General features: G+C 43.8%; 1 protein-coding gene, 2 non-coding genes and 1 pseudogene across 4 annotated transcripts in view, besides 2 other annotated features; all 4 read right to left on the bottom strand.

Annotated features, from left to right (window-relative positions):
* The window catches only part of PDE4DIPP4 (PDE4DIP pseudogene 4), a 66,476-nt pseudogene that overhangs the window by 24,790 nt on the left and 19,015 nt on the right, over positions 1-22,671 (bottom strand). The gene's annotated exons all lie outside the window — the stretch shown is intronic.
* Positions 1,855-2,356: an enhancer, noted in NCBI's record as "H3K4me1 hESC enhancer chr1:149675697-149676198 (GRCh37/hg19 assembly coordinates)". NCBI's record gives its function as "activates a minimal SCP1, AML or CMV promoter by ChIP-STARR-seq in naive H9 embryonic stem cells {active_cell/tissue: H9 hESC(naive)}" and the evidence as "EXISTENCE:reporter gene assay evidence [ECO:0000049][PMID:30033119]".
* TRG-CCC6-1 (tRNA-Gly (CCC) 6-1) lies at positions 6,364-6,434 on the bottom strand. The gene has a single exon. It is a non-coding gene; the product is annotated as a tRNA-Gly (tRNA).
* Positions 6,435-6,494: a silencer, noted in NCBI's record as "silent region_1253". NCBI's record gives its function as "represses an Ori minimal core promoter by ATAC-STARR-seq in GM12878 lymphoblastoid cells {active_cell/tissue: GM12878}" and the evidence as "EXISTENCE:reporter gene assay evidence [ECO:0000049][PMID:35858748]".
* Positions 10,248-10,320, bottom strand: TRV-CAC5-1 (tRNA-Val (anticodon CAC) 5-1). Its single transcript has one exon. It is a non-coding gene; the product is annotated as a tRNA-Val (tRNA).
* On the bottom strand, positions 17,655-20,669 carry LOC124904394 (myomegalin-like). The gene is made up of 4 exons (XM_047438017.1): positions 20,575-20,669; positions 19,111-19,245; positions 17,890-17,985; positions 17,655-17,810 (listed from the first exon to the last, which is right to left on the bottom strand). Exons 1-4 carry the CDS (start codon positions 20,651-20,653, stop codon positions 17,734-17,736), a joined length of 387 nt encoding a protein of 128 aa, XP_047293973.1. The 5' UTR covers positions 20,654-20,669; the 3' UTR covers positions 17,655-17,733.

The raw sequence follows: 22,671 nt of genomic DNA on the forward strand, positions 1-22,671 counted from the left end.
GAGGGCGAAGTTGCCCCCTGTTGAGAACCATTGCTGCGCGTAGTCCTTCTCTCTGAACTTGTGCAGAGGACTCTCCAGGTGAAGGCTCAAGGGTGGATCCAGCTCGAGACACCCTCGCTCCCCCTCACAGTCGGACCTTAGGATTTAGGCTTTAACATCTCCACATCATGAGATTCGAAACCTTTAGGTCTTTTCTTCCATTCTGTCCTCCAAATCGGCCTCTTCCGAGCCTGTTGACCAGGGCCAGCCGGGCAGAGGGCTGGGCTCGCTCAACGAGGCTCCTCTCGCACCTCCTGGAGCTTCAGGCTTCTTTCCGTTGCAGAGAAGCTTTATGGGCCAATTCGTTCGGCATCCCCGGGGGCAGATGCGCGGTGCGCGGGGAAGAAGAGGATTTGACTGCGGTTCTCCACCCCCGGCGCCCAACCTCCACCCCGGTGCGCGCGCTCTTCCAGGCTCCTGCTGGTCCCACTTGCCAGGAGTTAGGTCTCAGGTCAGCCTGAGCTCCTGAGACGCCCAGGCCCGGAAAGACACGTAGGGGAAACCATCTGCTCACTTCTGTCCTGTCCGGAAGGGATCCCTTTCTGACGGGAAAGAAAGGCGGTGAGTCCTGTCCTGTTGAGTAGGCGGAAGAGAGATCAAAGGGAAGACAAGAAAAATCCTGTGAGTTTTCAGGATCTAAAGTTACCATGAGGTCGACCTAACCTCCTCTGGAGGTCCTCCCGGTCCTCCCGTGGCTGTCGAAGGTGAATCTAGCTTCCGTCTCCAGTTCGCCAAGGCGGACAAAGCCGACGACAATGGGCCTGTCCACTATCTTCTTTCATATGCACAAAATGTCAGCTCTTCTTGTTTCTAACTTGCAACATCCCACCTGATGACCAGCTCAGCAAATTAGAGACCCTCCATGGGATTCCATCTCTGTCTTAGTTCGGGCTTCCATAACTATGTAAACCGGGTGGCTAATTCACAACAGAAATTTATTTCTCACAGTTCTGGAGGTTGGAAGTCCGAGATCAAGGTGCCAACATGGTAGGGTTATGATGAGGGACTTTTTTCTGGTTGTAGACTGCCACCTTCTCATTGTATCCTCAGGGAGCAGAGAGAGCTCCCTGGGGTCCCTTTTATAGTGGCATTAGTCCCACTCAGACTAATGGGACTAAATCCAGACTCAGTTATTGCAATGTGTGCAAAAGAACAAGGACTTGTACTATCTGACTTCAAGGCTTACTATAAGCTATTATAGACAAGGCATCAGGAGGGACAAATAGATAAACAGACTGAGTTAAGAGACCTGAAACTGATCCACAGCCATACAGTCAATAAATGAGCTTTCAATGAAAGCAGTTCAATAGAAGAAAATAAATCATTTCAATTAATGGACTTTCATATGGAGGTGGGGGAGACCAACAATGTTATTCTCCCTCACACTACATACAAAAGTAATTTGAGGTGCATTATACACCAAAACTTAAAAGTTAAAGATATAAAGCATTTCAAGGATACTCTGTAGGTAAAGATTAGCCTACCAACAAGTAGGACACTGAAAAAATATATATAAAAGACATGATAAATTAGACTTCATCAACATTAGCCATACCTTCTCATCAAAAGATACCACTAAGAAAGTGAAAAGGCAAGCAAGCCACAGACAGAGAGAAAATAGTCACAAAACGTATCTGACCTCCACATCCTGTAATTAGAATTATTGTGGTCTGGTACACTGCACCCAGATTCTGCAGGAGTACTTTCTGGGTGTCTCTAATGAGTAAGAGAGGGCCCCATGGGATATTCCTACAGTTCCCAGATGAACAGTGGGAAAGACTCTACGTTGACAAACCCCGGGGACCTGAAAACTCAGGTCCTCAAGGAGGGTAGAGGATACCTGGACCCTGACCCAGACCCCTAGATGGGCTGTGCCAAGAGACCCAGCAAGGGAAGGGATTCCCTCCTGCCTCAGGTTCTCTGTTCTTCTGTGGTTAGAAGACCTGAACCCAACTCCCTCCCCAAGCACTGGAGATGGGGCTTTTCCAAGGGCTGGGGATCTTGCTGTCCTAAGGACAGCTGAGCAAGGGGGTCGAGGAGGAGCTTGGGTGGTGGAGGAGAGGAAACCGGGTAAGATGTGTGAAGCAGTCGGCTATACCAGGCACAGAGAGGACCCACTGGGACACAAGAGCCTGCATGTGAAGCCAGGCCTTGGGCCACCTTGTTCCTCAAAGGGGTGCTTACTTCCATGGGATCTTCAAAGGGACTGTGGAAAGAGAAGCCTTCAGCCCACACCTCTGAATGCTTTTCCACCACAGCATGCCCTGTGGCCTGTATCCTGCTGGTGTGGAACAGTCAGACCCCTGCAGGGCTGCAGAGCCTCTGTACTGGGCGGCATCCCAGCCTGAGTGCCAGAGCTCAGTGGGCAGGCCCCCGAGCAAGTAGAGAGGAGGGCACCTTTTGGACAGAACCTGTGGGACAAGAGCGACGTCTCATCCGTTCAGGTTCCTCACAAAATGAGAGTCAGGAAGATCAGGGTGCAGACCTGATTTCCCACGAAGGGCTGAAAGCAGACAACCAGAGGGAGAGCAGCACCTGGGCCAATGAGGTAGAAGACAGAAGACCACAGTGTACTTCTGCCCTCAACCTCACCCCCTCCCACCTACATCCTCCACACCCCCTGACCACCTTCTTCAGAAACGTAATAGGAATCAAGATCCCCCCTGGCCTGGTTGCTATGGGAGGCACAGTGGCCTGATGGAGCCTGAGGCAGGTGTGGGAAGATGTGGATTGTCTAACTGGAGGTTGGGAGTCCAGGGTGCAGAAGGAGAAGCTTGGAGTGCAGGATTTGGTGGTATGTGTGTGGCAGTAGGCACTATGTTCTAATTGCCAGTTTTTTTTTCTTCTTCCTTTTTTTCTCTAGCTAAACAAGCACTGGCCTTGAGATAAGCAATGCTGAAGCACTTGCAGCTCACCTATTACCATAAACTGACTGAGCCCTCCCTACACAAGCCATAACTACTGCTTTGATTGGACAAGAGACTGATTTCAGTAGTTTTCTCTTGGTAAGAGACCACTGGCCGTGGGCTGGTTCTGGACAGTTTACAGAAGCTATGCACTTGATTGCCTTTGTGTCCCTGCTTCACCTTTTGAAGCATAGGGCCTAATTATAATGTATTTAAATGTTGTCTCCACCCCAAAGTGAACATGGGTTGCATGTAACAGGCATGTTTACTCAGCATGCATGCAGCAGGATCCCTTCACAAATATTCAGAGCTCCCCCTATTCCCTGTTGAATATGTATATGTGGCCAACCAGATCAACGTAAATCACTATTCGCCCTCCCCTCCCTGGAAACTTACTTTTCGGGTTTCAGCAGGAAGCTATGCCTCCCAGTCTGTCAGAATGGCCACTTGCAGGCTGTAACCCTTTATAAAAAAATAAAATCTCCTTTCTAAATTTATAAATTGTGTGATTTTTCAGTTGACAGCTTTCAGTTGTCAGTCAAGTCACTGACTGGGAGAAGTCATTTGCAATATATTTATTTGAAAAATGACTCAACTCCTGAATATATAAGAGAACTTTCATAAATCAGTAATATAGAGCTAAGCCAAATAAAATCGGGCAAAATATTCGAATAGGCCTTTGCAAAGGAGAATTTCTTATATGCTGGAAGCCATAAGAAAATATGCTTCATAGTATTGCTCATTAGGCAAGTACAAATTAATTCCACACTGAGATACCACTAACCAATCAACAGTGTGTGGCTACTTTTTTTTTTTTTTCTGAGACAGGGTCTCTCTCACCCAAGCTGGAGTGCAATGGTGCGATTGGTGCGATCTTGAGTCACTGCAACCTCCCCCTCCTGAGTAGCTGGGACTACAGGTGCATGCCACCATGCCTGGCTAATTTTTGTATTTTCAGTAGAGACGGGGTTTCGCCATGTTGGCCAGTTTGGTCTGAGAGCATAGCTACATTTTAAAAAGTTAGTACACCAAATGCTGACAAGAATTTGGTGCCACTTCAACTGTCATTGCTGGTGAAAAAACATTCTAGAAGACTGGCAATTTATACTAATGTTAAACTTGTACTCAGGTCGTGACCCAGCAATTGAAGTACTTCCATGAATCTCAAGTGCACAAAAAGACCTGTAGAAGAATATTCATCACAAGAATTCAATAACACCAAAATTGAGAAGTGATCTATGAAACTACGTGGATATATCTCATGAGTATAATGAACATACCTGCAGAAAAAAGGCCAGATACAAAAGATATGTCCATTCACTCATGTGAACTTTAAGAACAGGCAATTGTAACCTATGGGAATAGACATCAGAATAGTGATTAACTAAGAGGACACAGGGTGGGAATTGCCTGGAAAGGGGCTCTAACAGGCCTTTCTCAGATGATGGCAATTTTCTATAACTTGAGCTGGGTGGTGATTACATTCATCAAAAATAAACGAACTGCACTAAAGATTTGTGCACTTTATGTGAACTGTAGTTTATTTACTGTTCTCATTGCTTGAACCCGGGAAACGGGACGTTGCAGTGAGCCGAGATTGAGCCATGGCACTCCAGCCTGGGTGACAGAACAAGACTACATCTCAAAAATAATAGTAATAGTAATAATTTACTGTTCTCATAAAAATTAGCGGATGGGGAATGGAGGCAAGCCAGTGTAGACCATGACAACTAGTTTAGATTTTATTGTAAACTCATTAAAAGCTCGTTCTCGTTTTGTGTTTTTAAAAAATCCCACTGATACAGCCGTTTTCTCTACCAGATGAGACTATAACCGTATTATTTCATCAGTGGAAGCTACAGACAAAGGGCCCTTGAGAGGCGGCATCTTCACCTATGGGAATTTTTTCTGCTCCATTGTGAGACAAAGAGCATGTCCGAGTTTTCATTTTGGCCAGGCCGCCCCCTAGTTTACGCACTGTGGACTAAACTCCAGAAGCTGGCGCCCTTCCGGGCCAGCGGTTTACTCCGCTCTCTGGAGGCTGCTAGGATTAAAGGCAAAGCAAACGACAGGTCTTTTAGCTACAATCGCAGGAGAGAAAACACTACTGTGACTCAGATTAGAACCCAGGTTGCGGCAACCACAGCTACAAGTATTGACCACTACACGACCAAAAAGCCTGCTGACAACCATTGTACTTCTTATATTTTTTTATGTAAAAACACTCATACTATTTTCTCTGCTTTATTCTCGAACGTCTGCAGATTTTCGTGCTTTTCTCTCTTTCATGCGCTTCTCCGTTACTCTCTCCCCATTCCGCTACATAATTTAAAAAACATCTCATCTCTCAGGACCTGGCCACTGCCTCTACAACAAGCCTCCTGGGAAGTCTCGTTGTCCCATCGACACCTCTCCCTTCTTTCGCTCCATTTTTTTTTTTTTTTTTTTTGACGGAGTTGCTCTGTCGCCCAGGCTGGAGTGCAGTAGCGCGATCTTGGCTCACTGCAACCTCCGCCTCCCGGGTTCAAGCGATTCTCCTGCCTCAGCCTCTCAAGTAGCTGGAATAGCAGGTGCACGCCACCACATTCGGCTGATTTTTGTATTTTTAGTAGAGACGGGATTTCACCATGTTAGCCAGGCTGGTCTTGAACTCTTGACCTCAAGCGATCCATCCGCCTCGGCCTCACAAAGTGCTGGGATTACAGGCGTGAGCCACCGTGCCCGGCCAAATTTCAGGCCAACACCTGTTGACACACATTGCCAGACACACGGAATCCCTCACTGAACACCGATGGGCCCACAAAACACGCGGAGGCCACGGTGGCTGAAGATGTTAGCAAATTCGGTTCGCGGTGTCTGGGGTACAGCCTCGAGGGTCCATTGGCTACCTCTGTGCAAGGACCACTCTGCGCAAGGACCAGTCACCGCTGCTCTCCTCATCTCCATTGAGATTCTCCCGCACACACCTCCCCTTTCTTTGGGCCGCTGAGGCCTCTTGGACCTCCGAGGTGATTGCCCCGCCCGCAGCTTCTCTCCCTCCGGGAGCTTCATTTCTTGTTCCTCTCCGTAGTGGCTCAGCGGTAAGCCCAAGGTCCAGCACACGAATCAGGAAACTGATGGTTCTTGGGTTTGCAGGAATCCGCCCAGAGAACAGATGAAAGTAACAGGTACCAATATCAAAACTGCAGTGACTCACCAGAAACACTACGTGCTTGCCACTTTGCTTAGCGGTTTGTTGAGTCCAACAACTGCGTGGGTCCCGGGTTAGTCTCCTGAATATCTTTTGCTGCTACTTTGGTCAGCGTTGTTGTCAGTTTACCTTGTGGTGGCCAAGCCCTTAAATGCACTATTAGGTTATGCAGTGTAATTCTGCAGGGCAGAAGGGTAAAGAGCCATAGTGAAGAGCAAAAATACCTCTTATCTTGACCGGGAATTGAACCCGGGTCTCCCGCGTGGGAGGCGAGAATTCTACCACTGAACCACCAGTGCCTCTCTCTAGCAACCCTGGGAGAATTATCAAAAAGAGTATCCAGAAAGACTTAGAAACTTCCAAGTGGCCTTTTCAAGTGTCGACTCAAAGCTAACAAAGACATCCAAACCAAATGTTTTTATAGGAAACTTTTACTAAACAAAGTTATAAATATCAAAATAGCTAATTTGTCGGATCAAACTCTTAACTCTGAAAAAGGTCTTTCTACCTGCATTACATACCCCTATAATAAAACGTCACAAATTCATTCATGTTTCTTTTTTCTAATCCTAAATCTTCAATTGTCAACGTCAAACTGCTGCCTTAGTGGTTCTGAGAAGGTAACCTAACTGGTAGCTTAGGTAAGTAAAGTTCTAATCCAGGGAGGAAATAAGAAGCAGAAGCAGAATTAGAATTAGAGGAAAGAGGAAATAAAAGGACAGAATCAAGGTAGAGATAATGAAGAAACAAAGGTTGGTCCACTGAGTTAGTCTTTTGTCGCTGGTTTTTTTGGCAAAAGAGTAATGATCAGTCTTGTAACCATAATACTGTTATTTGTCTGCTTGAAGATGTATAAAGCATTTAAAGGAAATGTGATATAAAAAGATTAATAATGCCTGCAGTCAATATTTCATTGTTAGAGAGAATCCAATTTCCTAAGTTAATATGCTTTGATGTATTAGCTATGTAAGGAGTAGACTAGTTTAAGGAAATATTGATGGTCAAAATATTAACATATTAGTCTTTTGATGAAGTTCAAATAGTAGAGAGATTTCTTTTCTCAATTTTCCCTGGAGAGATTAAACTGAAGAGAAAAATTCAGAGAGTTTGCCCCACATGTTGGGTCTGCGAGTCATTATGACTTTTTCAAAGACAGGAGCTGTGACATGGAATCATGCTTCTTCTCTAGCTGAGAAGCCAAGCTAGGTCCAGGCTGGGTCATAAACTTGAGCCCAACAAGGAAATCACCCTTCACATTGACCTCACAGAGCTTTGACTGTTCTCTGTTCTTTGCCCAACACCCAAGACACACACCAGCTCTGGCCAACAAACCTTAACATATTATCTATATCAACCAGAGCTATATTTATTCCCAAATCTCCTTCTAAAATACAAACCTGTACTTTCTACTCTCAACTTCTAAATTTACAAAGGCCTCATATGCATCTCAGAGTCACAGATGCTAAAACTCAACACACCGGTGAGTTCCCTGTCAGCAATATGTACCACCCTCTACCTCAAAACCCAATGATCAGACTCAAGCACAGCATCTCCCAAAGAGTAGTGCACTGCCCTGGGTGTTTCAATGATCACTAAAACCTGTTTCTAGCCCTGCCTAGCACACTTATCCTCACCACCATCTATCCTATTTGCCAAGCCAGATCTTTCTTTGGATAAACTCTCTCATTTTCATAACACAACAATTTCAGTTCAATTCAAAAAAATAGCGTTTAAGTTTATTGGATACTCCACAAGCTTACTGCCACTTTATTACCACACTTTTCCATCTATCGGCTCTTGCATCCATTAACATAAGCAGACAAAAAACTGGACTCCTGGCCGGGTGCGGTGGCTCAAGCCTGTAACCCCAGCACTTTGGGAGGCCAAGGCAGGCGGATCACGAAGTCAGAAGATTGAGACCATCCTGACTAACATGGTGAAACCCCATCTCTACTAAAACTACAAAAAAAAAAAAAAAATTAGCCAGGCGTGGTGGCACCCATCTGTAGTCCCAGCTACTCGGGAGGCTGAAGCAGGAGAATCGCTTGAACCCAGGAGGCAGAGGTTGCAATGAGCCAAGACCACACAACTGCACTCCAGCCTGGGTGAAAAAGCAAGACTCCACCTCAAAAAAAAACAAAACAAAAACAAACAAAAAAAAACTGGACTCCCTACAGCCAGTGTAGTATGCACCACTCACTTGCCACACTGTATGCTGAGTGACCCTTCCACAGCTTAAATCTGCACATAACTTCAGCCTAGAGCCATATAATGTCCCTTTATTTCTTCAGTACAATGATTAATACCATATTCTCTGTACCCTTCTTCCCTCTATGCTCATCATTCTAACAGCTCTTGCCAATACTCAAATCCAGGAGCAGCAAACTACTTCACATGTCACAAACTTTTCACAGGTTCACACCAGTGGATTCCCCAGTGAACCAGCTGTCTTAACTCAGGCTTCCATAACAAAATACCACAGACTGGGTGGCTTAAACACGAGGAATTTCTTTCTCACAGTTTGAGAGGCTGAGAAGTCCAAGATCAAACTGCCAGCTGATTCACCTCCTTGGTGAGGGCTCTCTCCCTGGCTTGCAGACTGCTACATTCTCCTTCTGTCTTCGCATGGTGGAGAGAAAGAGAGCACTTTCGTCTTTCTTCTGTTTCTTATAATGACACTGATCTCATCATGGAGATCCCATGGTCATGACCTCATCTAAACCTGATTACCTCCCAAAGGCCCTACCTCCAAAATACCTTCACATTGGGGGTTAAGGCTTCAATATATAATATGAAGGGAACACAAACATCCATTCCATTACACTAGCACCTGCATTTGCAATCCAGCCTCTGGGCCAGGCTTAGCAGTGTAGAGCCCAAGGCTTCAATTGACAGGATTTTTATGCTCTCATGCTCTGGCTCCTTGGCTCCAGAAGCTTCTAGAACCAGTAGGGTGATACATCCTTTAGCAACTATATTGTAAAACACATGGTGGGTAAAAGAGTGCCCTATTAAGTATTTTGGTTATGCCCCCATTAGTGTGCTTGGCTCAATATATTAATAGTAAGTAGTGGTTCGCATCCACCCTCAGTACCATCCTCTGCAGTCATCCTGTCAGTTTCCATTCCATTCTCCTATCCCTGGCTTGCTGGTTCAATACTCTTAAGTGATTTACTGCTGGTGCTCTTCTTTTTCCCTCAGAGATACCTTGTGATTTCTTTGATTCTCTCCACCTCTACAGGTTAATAAGTCTAATATTTAAAAACTCTGTAGAAGGATGTTGGGAAGCTGTGGGGAGAGCCCTTGGGCTTTTCGCCTGGGTAAAGTGCAGATTCCTGAGAATTCTGGGCCTTGGCTTCCAGCTGCACTAGTGCCGGCCACTCAGCTGTTCTCAGCAGCGTCACCTGGCGCAATGGTGCTGAAGCGCACTGCCGAGAGGCCAGAAGGCAAAGCGAGAGTCGGTGGCTATGGCCTGGAACCCATTTAGGCAAAACAGAGGGCGCGCGGGGACAAAGCAATAGAGAAGGGTGGGCAATACAGGATCTGTACACCATACATTAACAATTGTATTTATTAAATTGTTGATTACCTAAGCCTCCGGAGAGTAGTTTGGACGCTTACCGGTTTTCTGAGGATTATTTGGGGAAGGGGTATGCATGCAAATGTATGTACATAATTCGTGTGATTTCGGAATATTGACTCCATGAGTTCCAGATGCAGATTTGGAACGTTTTTAAAAAACATTTTGTTTTTGTTGTCTCGCAAATCAGCCAGATCTGCAACTGTATCAGAGTAAAGCGAAGCCAAGCTGGACCCTTAGGAAATGCGCTAACATGTCATCCACTTTCGGTGTCTGCCTGTGAAAATTCAGGCGATAAAGAGAATGAAGAGAACCTTAAGGAATTGCTGGAACCAAAGTTAATATTAAGCAGGCCTGCTGTGACGTCCTCTTCCTGGCAGACCAGTGGAAATTGTAGCCTGGTCGACAATCTGTATAGATTGATGAGGTCTAAAATGTAGTCACAGGTTCAACTACTTTTCTGTTTTCCAACCTCGAGTAAACTCACTAAATTTAAGGGCTAACAAAAAAAAAAAAAAAAAAAAAAAACTTATGTTTCCGCCCGGTTTCGAACCGGGGACCTTTCGCGTGTGAGGCGAACGTGATAACCACTACACTACGGAAACCACAGGCGGAACCTGCACGGCAAAATATAACCATGAAAATCTTAGATCAGCCGTTTCTATTATAGTTTCCAAATCCGAGATCGCACCACTGCACTCCAGCCTAGACGACAGAGCGAGAGTCTCAAAAAAAAGTTGGGAGAAGAAGGTGCCATTTTCCCTAGTTGCTTTTCTTACTGCGGTGGTGACCGCATTGCCTTCACACCTGAAGTCCAAGTGCTTCCACCCTGCAGAATATGCAGACCGCTGGGTCACTGGACGCCAGGCCGCAGCGCCGGCCTCGTTCTGCTTTTGGCTCTAAATGCAGTCGGGGGACGCGACTGGACCTCACCAGAGACTGGTGGGCTGTTACCCTTACCAGCGACTGGAGGGCCAAGCTCCCAAAGAGGCCTACTTCATGATCGCCTTAAATCAGGAAATTTCATGAAATCCCACCCCTCTACCGCCCCATTCCCATATTGTATCTCCTCCCCTGCCCACTCTGAGAGGATTCGCCCCCTTTCTGTCTCGTCTGGACCCTTTGGAGTCCCACATAGACAAGACAAAAGGGGCATTGCCTTTTCCTACAGGAGCGGGAAGAGCCGTCACAGCGGAGGAAACAGAGACTCACAGCGCGCATCCTCACATACTTGCGCCCTGCCGAGTTCCAGCAAACCCAACAAAGCACTCTGAAGCTTCTCTGGAAAAGGAAGGAGTGTGAGGTTTCTGATACGGCAAGAGGAGCCAAAGAGAGGGGACCCAGGCCTTCCCCTAGCTCGAGAGAACAAACCCAGAAGAAGGGCAGATCCAAAGGAAAAGCGCAAAGGCGGCCCAACCCCACGACCTGAGCAAGCCAAGGGTCGCGGGTTAAATTGCGTTTATCAGAACAGTTGTTTGCTCACTGTCCCAAAGCCCTCCTAGGGACAAAGAAAACACTGGCATGGCACCAATCGCAGAAGGGGGCAGCATTGACACCCAGGAACAGGAGTGGAAAAGCAGGAAAAGCAGGGATCATCTCTCTCCTACCCCGTATATGGCTGCAGACATAGCAGTGGTTCTTTTCTCCAGGACCCAGTGAGTGTGCACCAGGAGAGAAAATTATGCACGTTATTCATGGTGGCACCACCCAGGCTGAAAGTGAGCCTGTGCTGCTTGGGCTTTCAGGAAGGACGGGCGCAACTCTCCCTCCCTATACAGAGCTGCAGTGCCCTGGCAATGGAGGACAGACCATGGAGTTGCCTGCCCTGGACTCGGGGAAGAGGCTCTGCCCTAAACCCCATTTTAGTGGTAGCTGTCAGAGTGGCATATCCACAGACTTCAGCTGCACCACAGCCAGGAACCAAAGGACAAAGTCTTTATAAAATGAAGGTTGTGAGCTCTGTGACAGGGCATGATAGGGAAGCGGATCACATTCTTGCCTACTCAGGAGGAGGAGCTAGTGCACCTCTGCCCCTTCCCCTGAGACCTCAGCACACCCCGACATGATCTCTTTCCCACCATCCTGTCAGGGCAGGTTTTTCCACTGGACACCAGCCTACGTAACAGCCCTGACTCTTAAGCACCATCTACTGAACTGCATCCTAAACTGGACCACTGAATTCAAAAACCCTGCTACCAAAGGGCTTAGTGCTAGTCCATGAGATAAGTTTCCTGAGAATTCCGTACCCTCAGCCCCCAACAAGGGTTAGTGTGTTAGCTTTTACTTCCAATACATCACCACAACAAGCAGCATCTGAGAAAGCTACTGCTCAGAAGCTATCCACAACCAAGAAACCCATACAAAGCTAGGGCTCCCTGAAAGCACCCAGAAATGAAGCCAAACAATCATACACAACATACACCACAGTCATACCATCAAGGGAAAAAAAGAATAAAAAAATTAAAAATCCTCATCCAAACAATACCAAATTCAAAACTAAGAAGCAACAGCTTCCTCGGATGAGAAAGAATCAGTGCAATAACTCCAGTGTACCCAGAGTATTTACACACTTCCAAAGGATCACACTAGTTTCTAGCAATGGATCCTAGCCAGACTGAAATGTTGGAAATGACAGATAAGAATTCCAAATACGGATTGCAAGGGAACTCAATGAGATCCAAGAAAAAGTTGAAGTCCAATGCAAAGAAATCAGAAAAACAATACAGAATATGAAAGACAAGAAAACTATATTAAGCAAAATACAAATAGAACTTCTATAATTGAGAAATTCACTAAAGGAATTTCAAAATACATTGAAAGCTTTAATAATAGACTAGACAAGCAGAAGAATGAATTTCAGAGCTTGAAGGTTGGTCTTTCAAATTCACCTAGTCAGACAAAAGTAAAGAAAAATGAATTTTTAAAAATGAACAAAGCTTTTGAGAATTATGGGGTTATGTAAAGCGATCAAACCTATGACTTATTGGCATTCCTGAGAGAGAAGAAGAAAAGTAAGCAACCTGGAAAACATATTTGAAGGAATAATTCAGGAAAGAATTTTCCTAACCTTTCAAGAGAGATTGATATTCAGATACAAGAAATTCGGACAACTTCTGCAAGATACTATACAAGATAACCATTGAAAAGCATACAGTCATCAGACTTCCCAAGATAAATGTGAAAGAAAAAATCTTAAAGGCAGCTGAAGAAAAGGGCCAGATTATCTATAAAGGAAATCCCATCAGACTAACAGCAAACTTTTCAACGGAAATCTTACAAGTCAGAAGAAACTGGGACCTATTTTTAGCCACCTAAAAGAAAAAAAAAACTGCCTGTCAAAGTTTCATACTCTGCCAATTTAAGCTTCATAAATGAAGGAGAAATAGTTTTTCCCAGACAGAGAAATGCTAAGGGAATTCATTAACACCAGATAGTCTCTATAATAAATGTTCAAAGGAGTTCTAAATATGGATGGTACTTGCTACCATAAAAGCACATGTAATTACAAAGCTCGTACACCTTATAAAGCAATATATAATTGGGTCTACAAAGCAACTAGCTTAACACTATGACAGAAATAACACCTCACACATGAATATTAACCTTGAATGTAAATGGCCTGAAAGTTCCACTTAACGGGCATAGAGTAGTCCAGGTGTGGTGGCTCACACTTGTAATCCCTGCAGTTTGGGAGGCCAAGGTGGGTGGATCACTTGAGGTCAGGAGTTCGAAACCAGCCTGGCCAACATGGTGAAACTTCATCTCCACTAAAATACAAAAATTAGCTGGGCGTGGTGGTGGGCGCCTGTAATGCCAGCTACTCGGGAAGCTGAGGCAGGAGAATCACTTGAACCCAGGAAGCAGAGGCTGCAGTGAGCCAAGATCGCACCACTGAACTCAGCCTGGGACTCCATCAAAAAAAAAAAAAAAAGGCATAGGGTGGCAAATTGGGAAAAAAAAAAAATCAAACTTTCCATGGCCTTTAAGAGAGACCTATCTTACATGTTATAGCCCCCAGAGGCTCAAAGTAAAGTGATAGAGATCTGTTATGCAAATGGAAAACAAGAAAGGTCAGGAGTTGCTATTCTTGTATCAAGTAAAACAGACTAAACCAACAAGAGTTAAAAAAAGAAAAAAGACAAAGAAGGGCATTACATAATCAGAAAGCATTCAATTCAACAAGAAGATTTAACTATCCTAAATATATATGCACCTAACATTGAAGCACCCAAATTTATAAAACAAATACAACTACACCTAAGCAAAGAAATAGACAGCCATGCTATACTAGTGGAGGACTTCAACATCCCACTGACAGCACTAGACAGATCACTGAGGCAGAAACCTAACAAGGAAACTTTGGACTTAAATTGGACTCTTGACTAAATGAACCTAATAGATGTCTATAGAATACTCTATCCAACAACCACAGAATATACATTGTTCTCATCTGTGCACAGAACATTCTCTAAGATTGACCACATACTCAGTCATAAAGCAAGTCTCAATAAATTTTTTAAAAAATGAAATTATATCAAGTATCTTCTCAGACAACAGTAGAATAAAAGCAGAAATCAATGCCAAGAGGAACTCTCAAAACCACACAAATACATGGAAACTAAACAACAGAATCATTTTTGGGTAAACAATAAAATTAAGGCAGAAATAAAAAAAAATTGAAACAAATGAAAGTAGAGACACAATGTGCCAAAAACTCTGGAATATAGAAAAGCAGTGTTAAGAGGAAAGTTTATAGCACTCAATACCTACCTTGAAAAGATAGAAAGATCTCAAATTAACAACATAATACCACACCTAAAGAACTAGGAAAAGAAGAAGAAACAAAACCCAAAGCTAGGAGAAGGAAAGAAATAACTAAGATCGAGCAGAACTAAATGAAACAGAGATAAAAAAAATACAAAGGATCAATGAAATGAAAAGTTGGTTATTTGAATGATTGATAGACCACTAGCTAGATTAACCAGGAAAAAAAGATCCAAATAAGCACAATCAGAAATTACAAAGGTGACATTACAACTCATATCACAGAAATACAAAAGATCCTCAGAGACTACTATGAGCATCTCTACATGCACAAACTAGAAAAACCTAGAAGAAATAGTTAAATTCCTGGAAGCACACAGCTTCTTAAGATTGAACCAGGAAGAAATTGAAATCCTGAACAGACCAATAATGAGTTATGTAATTGAATCAGTAATAAAAATTCTACTAATCTGAAAGAGCCCTGGACCAGACAGAATTTTACAGCTGAATTCCACCAGACGTGCAAAGAAGAGCTGGTACCAATCTTACTAAAACTATTCCAAAAAATTGGGGATGAGGGATTCCTAACTCATTCTATGAAACCAGTATCATCCTGATACCAAAATCTGGCAGGGACACAATAAAAAAAGAAAACTACAGGCCAATATCCCTGATGAACACAGATGCAAAAATTCTCAACAAAATACTAGCAAACTGAATCCAGCAGCACATCAAAAAGATAATTCATCATGATCATGTGGGCTTTATTCCTAGGATGCAAGGATGGTTCAACAGACGCAAAAAAAAATGCTATTCACTGCATAAACAGAATTAAAAACAAAAACCATACTATTATCCCAATAGATGCAGAAAAAGCATTCAATAAAATGTTACATCCGTTGCATGATACACACCTTCAACAAACCAGGCATCAAAGGAACATAACTCAAAATAATAAGAGCCATCTATGACAAACCCATAGCCAATATCATACTGAATAGGCAAAAGTTGGAAGCATTCCCCCTAATAACTGGAACAAGACAAGGATGTCCACTCTCACCACTCCTATTCAACACAGTACTGGAAATCCTGGCCAGAGTAATCAGTCAGGAGAAATAAAAGCAATCCAAATAGGAAAAAGGGAAGTCAAATTATCTCTGTTCACCAAAGACATGATCCTCCATCTAGAAACCTCTAAAGATTCCTCCAAAATACTCCTAGACTTGAAAAACAAGTTCAGTAAAGTTTCAGGTTACAACATGAGCATACAAAAATCAGTAGCATTTCTATACACTAAAAATGCTCAAGCTGACAGCCAAGTCAAGAACTTAATCCCATTTAAAATAGCCACACACACACACACACACACACACACACACACAAATAAACAAAACACCTAGGAATATATTTAACCAAGGAGGTGAAAGATCTCTACTGGGAGAACTACAAAACACTGATGAAAGAAATAATAGACAACACAAACAAATGGGAAAACATTCCATGCTTGTGGACTGGAAGAATCAATATTGTTAAAATGACCATTCTATCCAAAGCAATCTAAAGATTCAACGCAATTCCTATCAAGTTACCAATGTCATTTTTTACAGAATTTAAAAAAAAAATTATAAAATTCTTATGGGGCTGGACATTGTGGCTCACACCTGTAATCCCAGCACTTTGGGAGGCTGAGGCAGGAGGATCACTTGAGGTCAGGAGTTCAAGGGCAGCCTGGCCAATACGGTGAAACCCCATCTCTACCAAAACACACAAAAGTTAGCAGGCATGGTAGCACACACCTATAGTCCCAGCTAATTCAAGAGGCTGAGGTGGGAGAATCACTTGAACCCAGAGGCAGAGGTTGAAGTGAGCTGAGATCATGCCACTACACTCTAGCCTTGGTGACAGAGTGAGACCCTGTCTCAAAAAAAAAAAAGAAAAAATCCCCATGGAACCAAAAAACAGCCCGAATAGTCAAGCAATCCAAAGCAAAAAGAACAAATCCAGAGGCATCACATTACCTAACTTCAAACTATACTACAAGGCTATAGCAACAAAAACAGCAAGGTACCGACACAAAAATAGACACATGAATCAATGGATAAGAATAGAGAACCCAGAAATAAAGTCACACACCTACAACTAACTGATCTTTAACAAAGTTGACAAAAATAAACAATGAGGAAAATGATACCCTATTTAATAAATGGTGCTGGGAAAACTGGCTAGCCAAATGCAGAAGAATGAAACTGGACCCCTACCTCCCACCATATACAAAAATTAATTCAGATGGTTTACAGACTTAAATATAGGACGTCAAACTATAAAAATGCTAGAAGAAAACCTAGGAAAACCTCTTCTTGACATTGGCTTATGACTAAGACCTCAAAAGCAAATGCAACAAAAATGAAAATTGACAAATGGGACTTAAACTTAAAAAGCTTCTGCACAGCAAAAGAAATAATCAACAGAGTAAACAGACAACCTACAGAATGGGAGAAAATATTTGAAAACTATGCACCTGACAAAGGACTAATATCCAGACTCTATAAGGAACTTAAATCAACAAGACAAAACCAAATAACCCTATTTAAAAAATGGGCAAAGGACATGGCTAGACACTTATCAAAAGAACACATACAAGCGGCCAACAAACATATGAAAAAATGCACATCACTAATCATCAGAGAAATGCAAATTAAAACTACAGTGAGATATCATCTCACAGTAGTCAGAATGGCTATATTCCAGGCTCGAGGCAAGCGTGCTCTTCACGAGTTCTGTCATTCTCTTGAGTGAAGCTCACCTGGTATGGTAAGTTGTCCTCATTTTAAAACATTCAGATTTTATTCTGCAATTCTTTCACATGTGACAGTTTTTCTGTTCTTCCTAAGCATGTAATGGAAGTCAAGGAATTCTACATCCTCACTATCTATTAATATTTCTTACCTTTCCACAGCAGTGAAATTCCCATTCTAGTCTTCTGAAACAGAGATAGCTAATAAAGAAAACTCATTTCTCCTTTAACCTTTTCCACACATTTCAGACCATTCTGGTTTTATTCTTTTCTACACAAATTTTACTCTTTATAGGTGTTCAATAAATAAATATAAACACTAATTTTAAAAATAATTTATTAATTTGATCTCTTCATTTAAAGATAATATCCAATGCCTCCAAGTTCCCACCCAAGAATTCTGTTGGATAGGGCTGGAAAAGTTCTGGAGAACATTCTTCCAGACTCTCTAGGCATCATGTCACAGGATGTCCTCGCCACAGCCAGAAGAGTGACTCTGAGTATATGAATGAGGGGCTACAGTGGACTGTCCAGTACCTAGGGAGGGAGAGACAGGGCTGCAATGAAGTCTGGAGGGATTTAGGAAATTCATTGATTGTACCAAACAAAAACTTACATTTCTTCTCTCCTATTCCGTACCCAGGTGAAAGTGGGAAAGACAGGAAGAGAGACACCAAGCTTTCTAGTTGACAGCTAGTGACTCTCTGATTATCTGCAAAGATTGGGAAAGGAACTTAAACATGACATGTAGATTTTCCAGAGATATTTACTCCTGGAGCCAGGAGTCTGCGAACACGTAGGTGGGATCTTTTAAGAAGCAGCCTTATCTAGATTGGGAATAAGCTATTATAGTTTTAGGCTGTGTGGATCTGGTCAACTTTTGTGCTGCCTACTTCTCTTTGCTTCTACAACTGGGCATTGCTGCAGAAAGGAAGAAATATGGAAGTGACTTCAGCTTTGATTTTTTTCCTTCTGGAAGCCTGAAAACTCCAGTTTGCTTCCCTGAGCCCTTTTCCTGTTGCACAACTAGGGTGTGGACTACAGGTCCTACCCATGGAAGATGGAGGTAGATACTTCACAGGGAATAAAAACAACCCAGACAAGTCATACCTTTAGGTAACAGATACTTTCAAAGATGTACTTTCCTGCACCCATTAAAGTTTTAGTCTCAGCTAATCTGAAAACCTGCGGTCCTCATGCACTGGGATAGCAGTGCAATATGGCTCAGGCTCAGGTTTTGCTGGGCACACCAGAGTAGGCCACACACTCTCATGTGCAGTGGCTTCAGGTATGGATCAGGGTCTTTCCCACTAATTGGCTTCAGTTATGATGTTGTAGGTCATCATTCTTCTGGCTTTAATACGAGAGAAGAAGGGATGGGGAAGAACTGGTCTCCAAGTGAGAGCATCCAGGGTGAAGAGTGTGGAAATAAGGGTCATTAGCACAAGAGAAGAGCCAGGTGATATCAAAGGCATGTAGTAATGGCATAAAGGTGGAACGTTGCTCTCATTCTGCTGAAGTGGGCACCATGGAAACCTTGGTGCTACCACTCGCCAGTCAGGCCACAAGCCCAAGAACAGCACCAGGCAGTATAAGGACATATAAGAATGACATCACTTCAGATAGTCCTGAGAATTAGACCTATCCCTGCTTGGGGCAAACCACTCAGTGGGAGCAATAGTACCCTTCTGCTTCCCTATCTGGGCTAATTGTAAGGAACAAGTGAAATCATGCACACCAATGTGCTTTAAACCGGTAAAACTCTGCCCCAAGAAGCTATGTGCCCTTTTGAGACTCCCTAGACGTGGACAGAAACATAAAATTTCTGCCTTTCTACCTTTTCCTTGGTCACCATTGCTAAGCACATGCTGCAGCCTCTCCCTCAGGCGGTCATTGAGACTGATGGACTCCTCCAGGCGCTGGCGCAGGTTCTGTATCTCAGCAAGATTCTTTTCCAGCAGGTCGGCCCCTACTGCAAACCACCAAGACATAGGAGAGGTAGGAGGTAGGGAAGCCTGATCATCCCTGGGCAGCTGTGGGGCCTGCCTGGCAACTCTCTGCAAGATCCCTACCTATCTCTATCCTTCTGTCAGCTTCTTCCTCTCTCCTGGGCATTCAGGAAGCACCAGGCAACTTTACTTAAAAGTCCTGGGCTTTCAATCACAGGGTGGCCCCCTGTAAGGAAACACCACAGGCCTCCTCCCAGACAGAGACCACCAAGTACATCTAAGGGAGATGGACACAGGGTGAGAAACTGCTAAAGGCCTCTAGGCAGAACTGGCCTAGTAATGGGAAAGGCTGTCTACCTCCTTGGTATGGAAAACAATCCAGAGAATCTCCCTCTCTACCTCATCCCTCTCCCCGATGATGATCCCGACTCAACAGCCTTTGAGATTTCACTCACTCACAGACAGAAAGACCAAGGTAAGTGCATATGAAATTAAACCAGGCTGTGAATAATGAGTGATAGTGAATGTTCTCCTTTAACCAGTTTTGGCAAAGAGGAACATGGAAGAGCTTGGGAAGGTATCAGGATCTGAAGAGGGGGAACAGGAGAGAAGGGAACAATCTCCAAGGAAGGAAAAAGATGCACAGAGAGAGGAGGCTGAGAATAGGCCTCACCCACTGGGAGATTTTGCGTAGGGTCAGGTTTTTCTCTGAGAATTTAAAATGTCTTATTGTTACACTACCTGGGACACAGAAATGGAGCTGCTTCAAGCCATTCCTCTAAATACCTGCACTCCTAGCTGCCAGGTGCCAGGATGTTTGGCTCCAAATCCAAAAGCAATGTTTATGGGGGCAGGATTGGCACGTGGTTGTATGCACAGTGTGTGTGAAAGATGTGTGTGAAAGAGTGGAAAGAGTGTGTAGGGGTGGGTGACTCTGTAGAAATAGTTTCCCATCCGACAGTAGCTCCTGACCTAAGGAAGACCTTCCCCATGGAAATCTGAGCTTAGCATTCCAGGACAGTCTTAATCTAGGCCTAAGAAGGTTGTAGCACAGAGAGAAGGCAACATTTAAGTGTGAGGTAACTTATCCTCCTTGTAGAGCACCTCAGAATGTCCCTGACTTCTCCTACTCTCCTGCCCAGAGTAAGTTCCTAGGTAGGGTGGCTAGGAGAAGGCACTTTCAAAGAACAAGCACTGAGCTGGTTCTCACTGTCTGGCTGATCTACATATTGTCCTGTCATTTTTTATGAACCAGGTTCTAACAGAGGAACCAAAAAGTCCTCTGGCCAGGAAAGGAATGTGTCATTCCTACCAATGGGCTCGATTTCACTAAGTGCTCCTTTGTGTTTTACCAGAGGTTTCGGAGTTGGGTTGGTACAAAGAGGAGAAGGAGGCTAGGTCTCCAGATGCATTCATTTTTTGAGGCCTCATCTCTTCCCATGGGCCACTGCTACCGTGTTCTAGTGTCCTGCTCTGCTGGGCCAGTGCCGCTCGAAGGATGGAAGGGCTGGGCAGACCTGGTTCCTTGGTTGCTGGGCAAAGCAGCTGAATCAGCAGAAATGGCAGGGCTGGCATCTGTCCAGAAAGGAATGTGAGTGAGAAACCAACAGGGAAGTCATAAATGAGTGTTTTAAAGGTAATTATAGTGAGTTGAATAGTGTCCTCCAAAAATTCATTCAGTTCACTTGGAACTTCAGAATGTGATCTTATTTGTAAATGGGTTTTTTGTAGATATAATAAGTTAAGACGAGATGATACTGAATTGGGGGTATGTCTTAAATCCAACATGACTGATGTCCTTATGAGAGGAGAGGAGACACAGAGATAAAGAGACATACAGAGAAGGAGACCATGTAACAAGAGAGGCAGAGATTGGGGTGATGTGTCTACAACCCAGAAACCACCAGAAACTAGGAAGAGGCAAGGAAGGATCCTTCCCTGGAGTCTTCAGAGGGAGCATGGCCCTGCTGACTCCCTGATTTTAGGCGTCTTCATCTCCAGAACTGTGAGAGAATACATTTCTGTTTTAAGACGCCCAGTTTGTGTTTTTTTGTTTTGGAAGCCCTCGAAAGCTAATAAAGCAATCCACGGAATGAAGACTAAGGCAGATGTCAGCAGACTCATTTCCCAAGGACTCCCCATTTCACCCTAAAGTAACTGGCATTTCTCAGCCTATGACATAAGCAGTAGTGTTAGTTGTAATATCTGAGCATCACAGCGCACATACAGGAAAAATATGGGGCCCCTCTCCTAGCTCCCTTTATGATTCCCAATGCTGGAATGATCCTGGGGAGGTACTTCAGAAATGTTTCTCCTAATAGCAGGACTCACAGCCAATCCTAGGAGTTCAGACAGTGAGGGGTGAAGCATTTTGTTGGTCTGTAAACAGGTGACTATTTATTCAACATTCTATGCCCTTGCCAGAAACACACCAGCTACTCCTTCCTGGGATTGTTCTACACTGAGGCTGTTGGAGGAGGAGGAGAAAATGGCCTCCACTTCTGGACAATGTGCAGAGAACCTAGAGAGTGTTGCTTCCACTCCTGGTGGTTCTCTCTCTGGCCTCGGCTGACTCTGGACCTGCAGTGAAGCTGAGGGGGTGTCTGTCTAAGGCAAGTGGTGATTTGGATTCCACCTAGAATGGCTTTTGACACTGCAAAAATAATTCTTATGTACAGCTCACATTGTCTGGCTCCTGTCCACAGAATAGCTAGTGTACTCTTGCATAGAGGATTGTAGAATCACAAAATACATGGCATCTTACAGCTCAATGATGCCATGAGAACATGGCCAGATCCTCTGGGCCCTTCATTACTGTCTCCCTTTGAGAGAAAAACCCAGCTGGGGTGGCAGGGCCATAATTCAGAGAAAAGTTTTAGAGTCTTTCCCTTTCAAGGATTATTATCAAGGGCTAAAGAATAGACAAGTTTCTCCTCTGAGCAGGTGGGAGTGAGGTTTCTGTTTGCCCTCAACAACATCACGTTCTTTTAGGAACTGTATATTTAAATCAGTAACCAGTAGGTCTCTCCTTCTCCAATTTATAAAATATCAGATACTAATTAGAATCACTGTGAGATAAAGAGTAATGACAACTATGTTAAGTCTTTAATAAATGCCTGACTTAAAGTAGGAACTCAATCAAAATGTGATTACCACCCCCTTTCAAACCTCCTTTATCTCAGAAAATCAGTTTACTCTCAACCATGGCCATAGGAAGCTCTAAGTTTTATCAGTAACAGTGATCAGTGTTTTAACATTCCCTGGCCATACCACACGGGGAACATGCCCTACACTGCAGATGGAAAGCAACAGAGACTAGACTTTTGTGAAGGAAATTTGGCCTCACAATGTAGCTGTCATGCCAGTGCACTACAGGTTGACTGTTCTAGAAATTTTGGTTCAAAAACCAAAGAGGAAGTGGTGATAAACCGTTGCCCCTGTGAAAGGAC

Source organism: Homo sapiens, chromosome 1 (genome assembly GCF_000001405.40).
Source record: "Homo sapiens chromosome 1, GRCh38.p14 Primary Assembly".
NCBI classification, from domain to species: Eukaryota; Metazoa; Chordata; class Mammalia; order Primates; family Hominidae; genus Homo; species Homo sapiens.

Bases quoted from the DNA above. Each gene is read 5' to 3' on its own strand.
- LOC124904394 (XM_047438017.1), bottom strand. From the start codon at position 20,653: ATGAGGCCTCAAAAAATGAATGCATCTGGAGACCTAGCCTCCTTCTCC. The intron at 19,246-20,574 runs GTAAAACACAAA...GGTGGTTTGCAG, and splicing joins ACCCAACTCCGAAACCTCTG to TAGGGGCCGACCTGCTGGAA. The intron at 17,986-19,110 runs GTAGAAAGGCAG...CAATCTTTGCAG, and splicing joins CAATGGTGACCAAGGAAAAG to ATAATCAGAGAGTCACTAGC.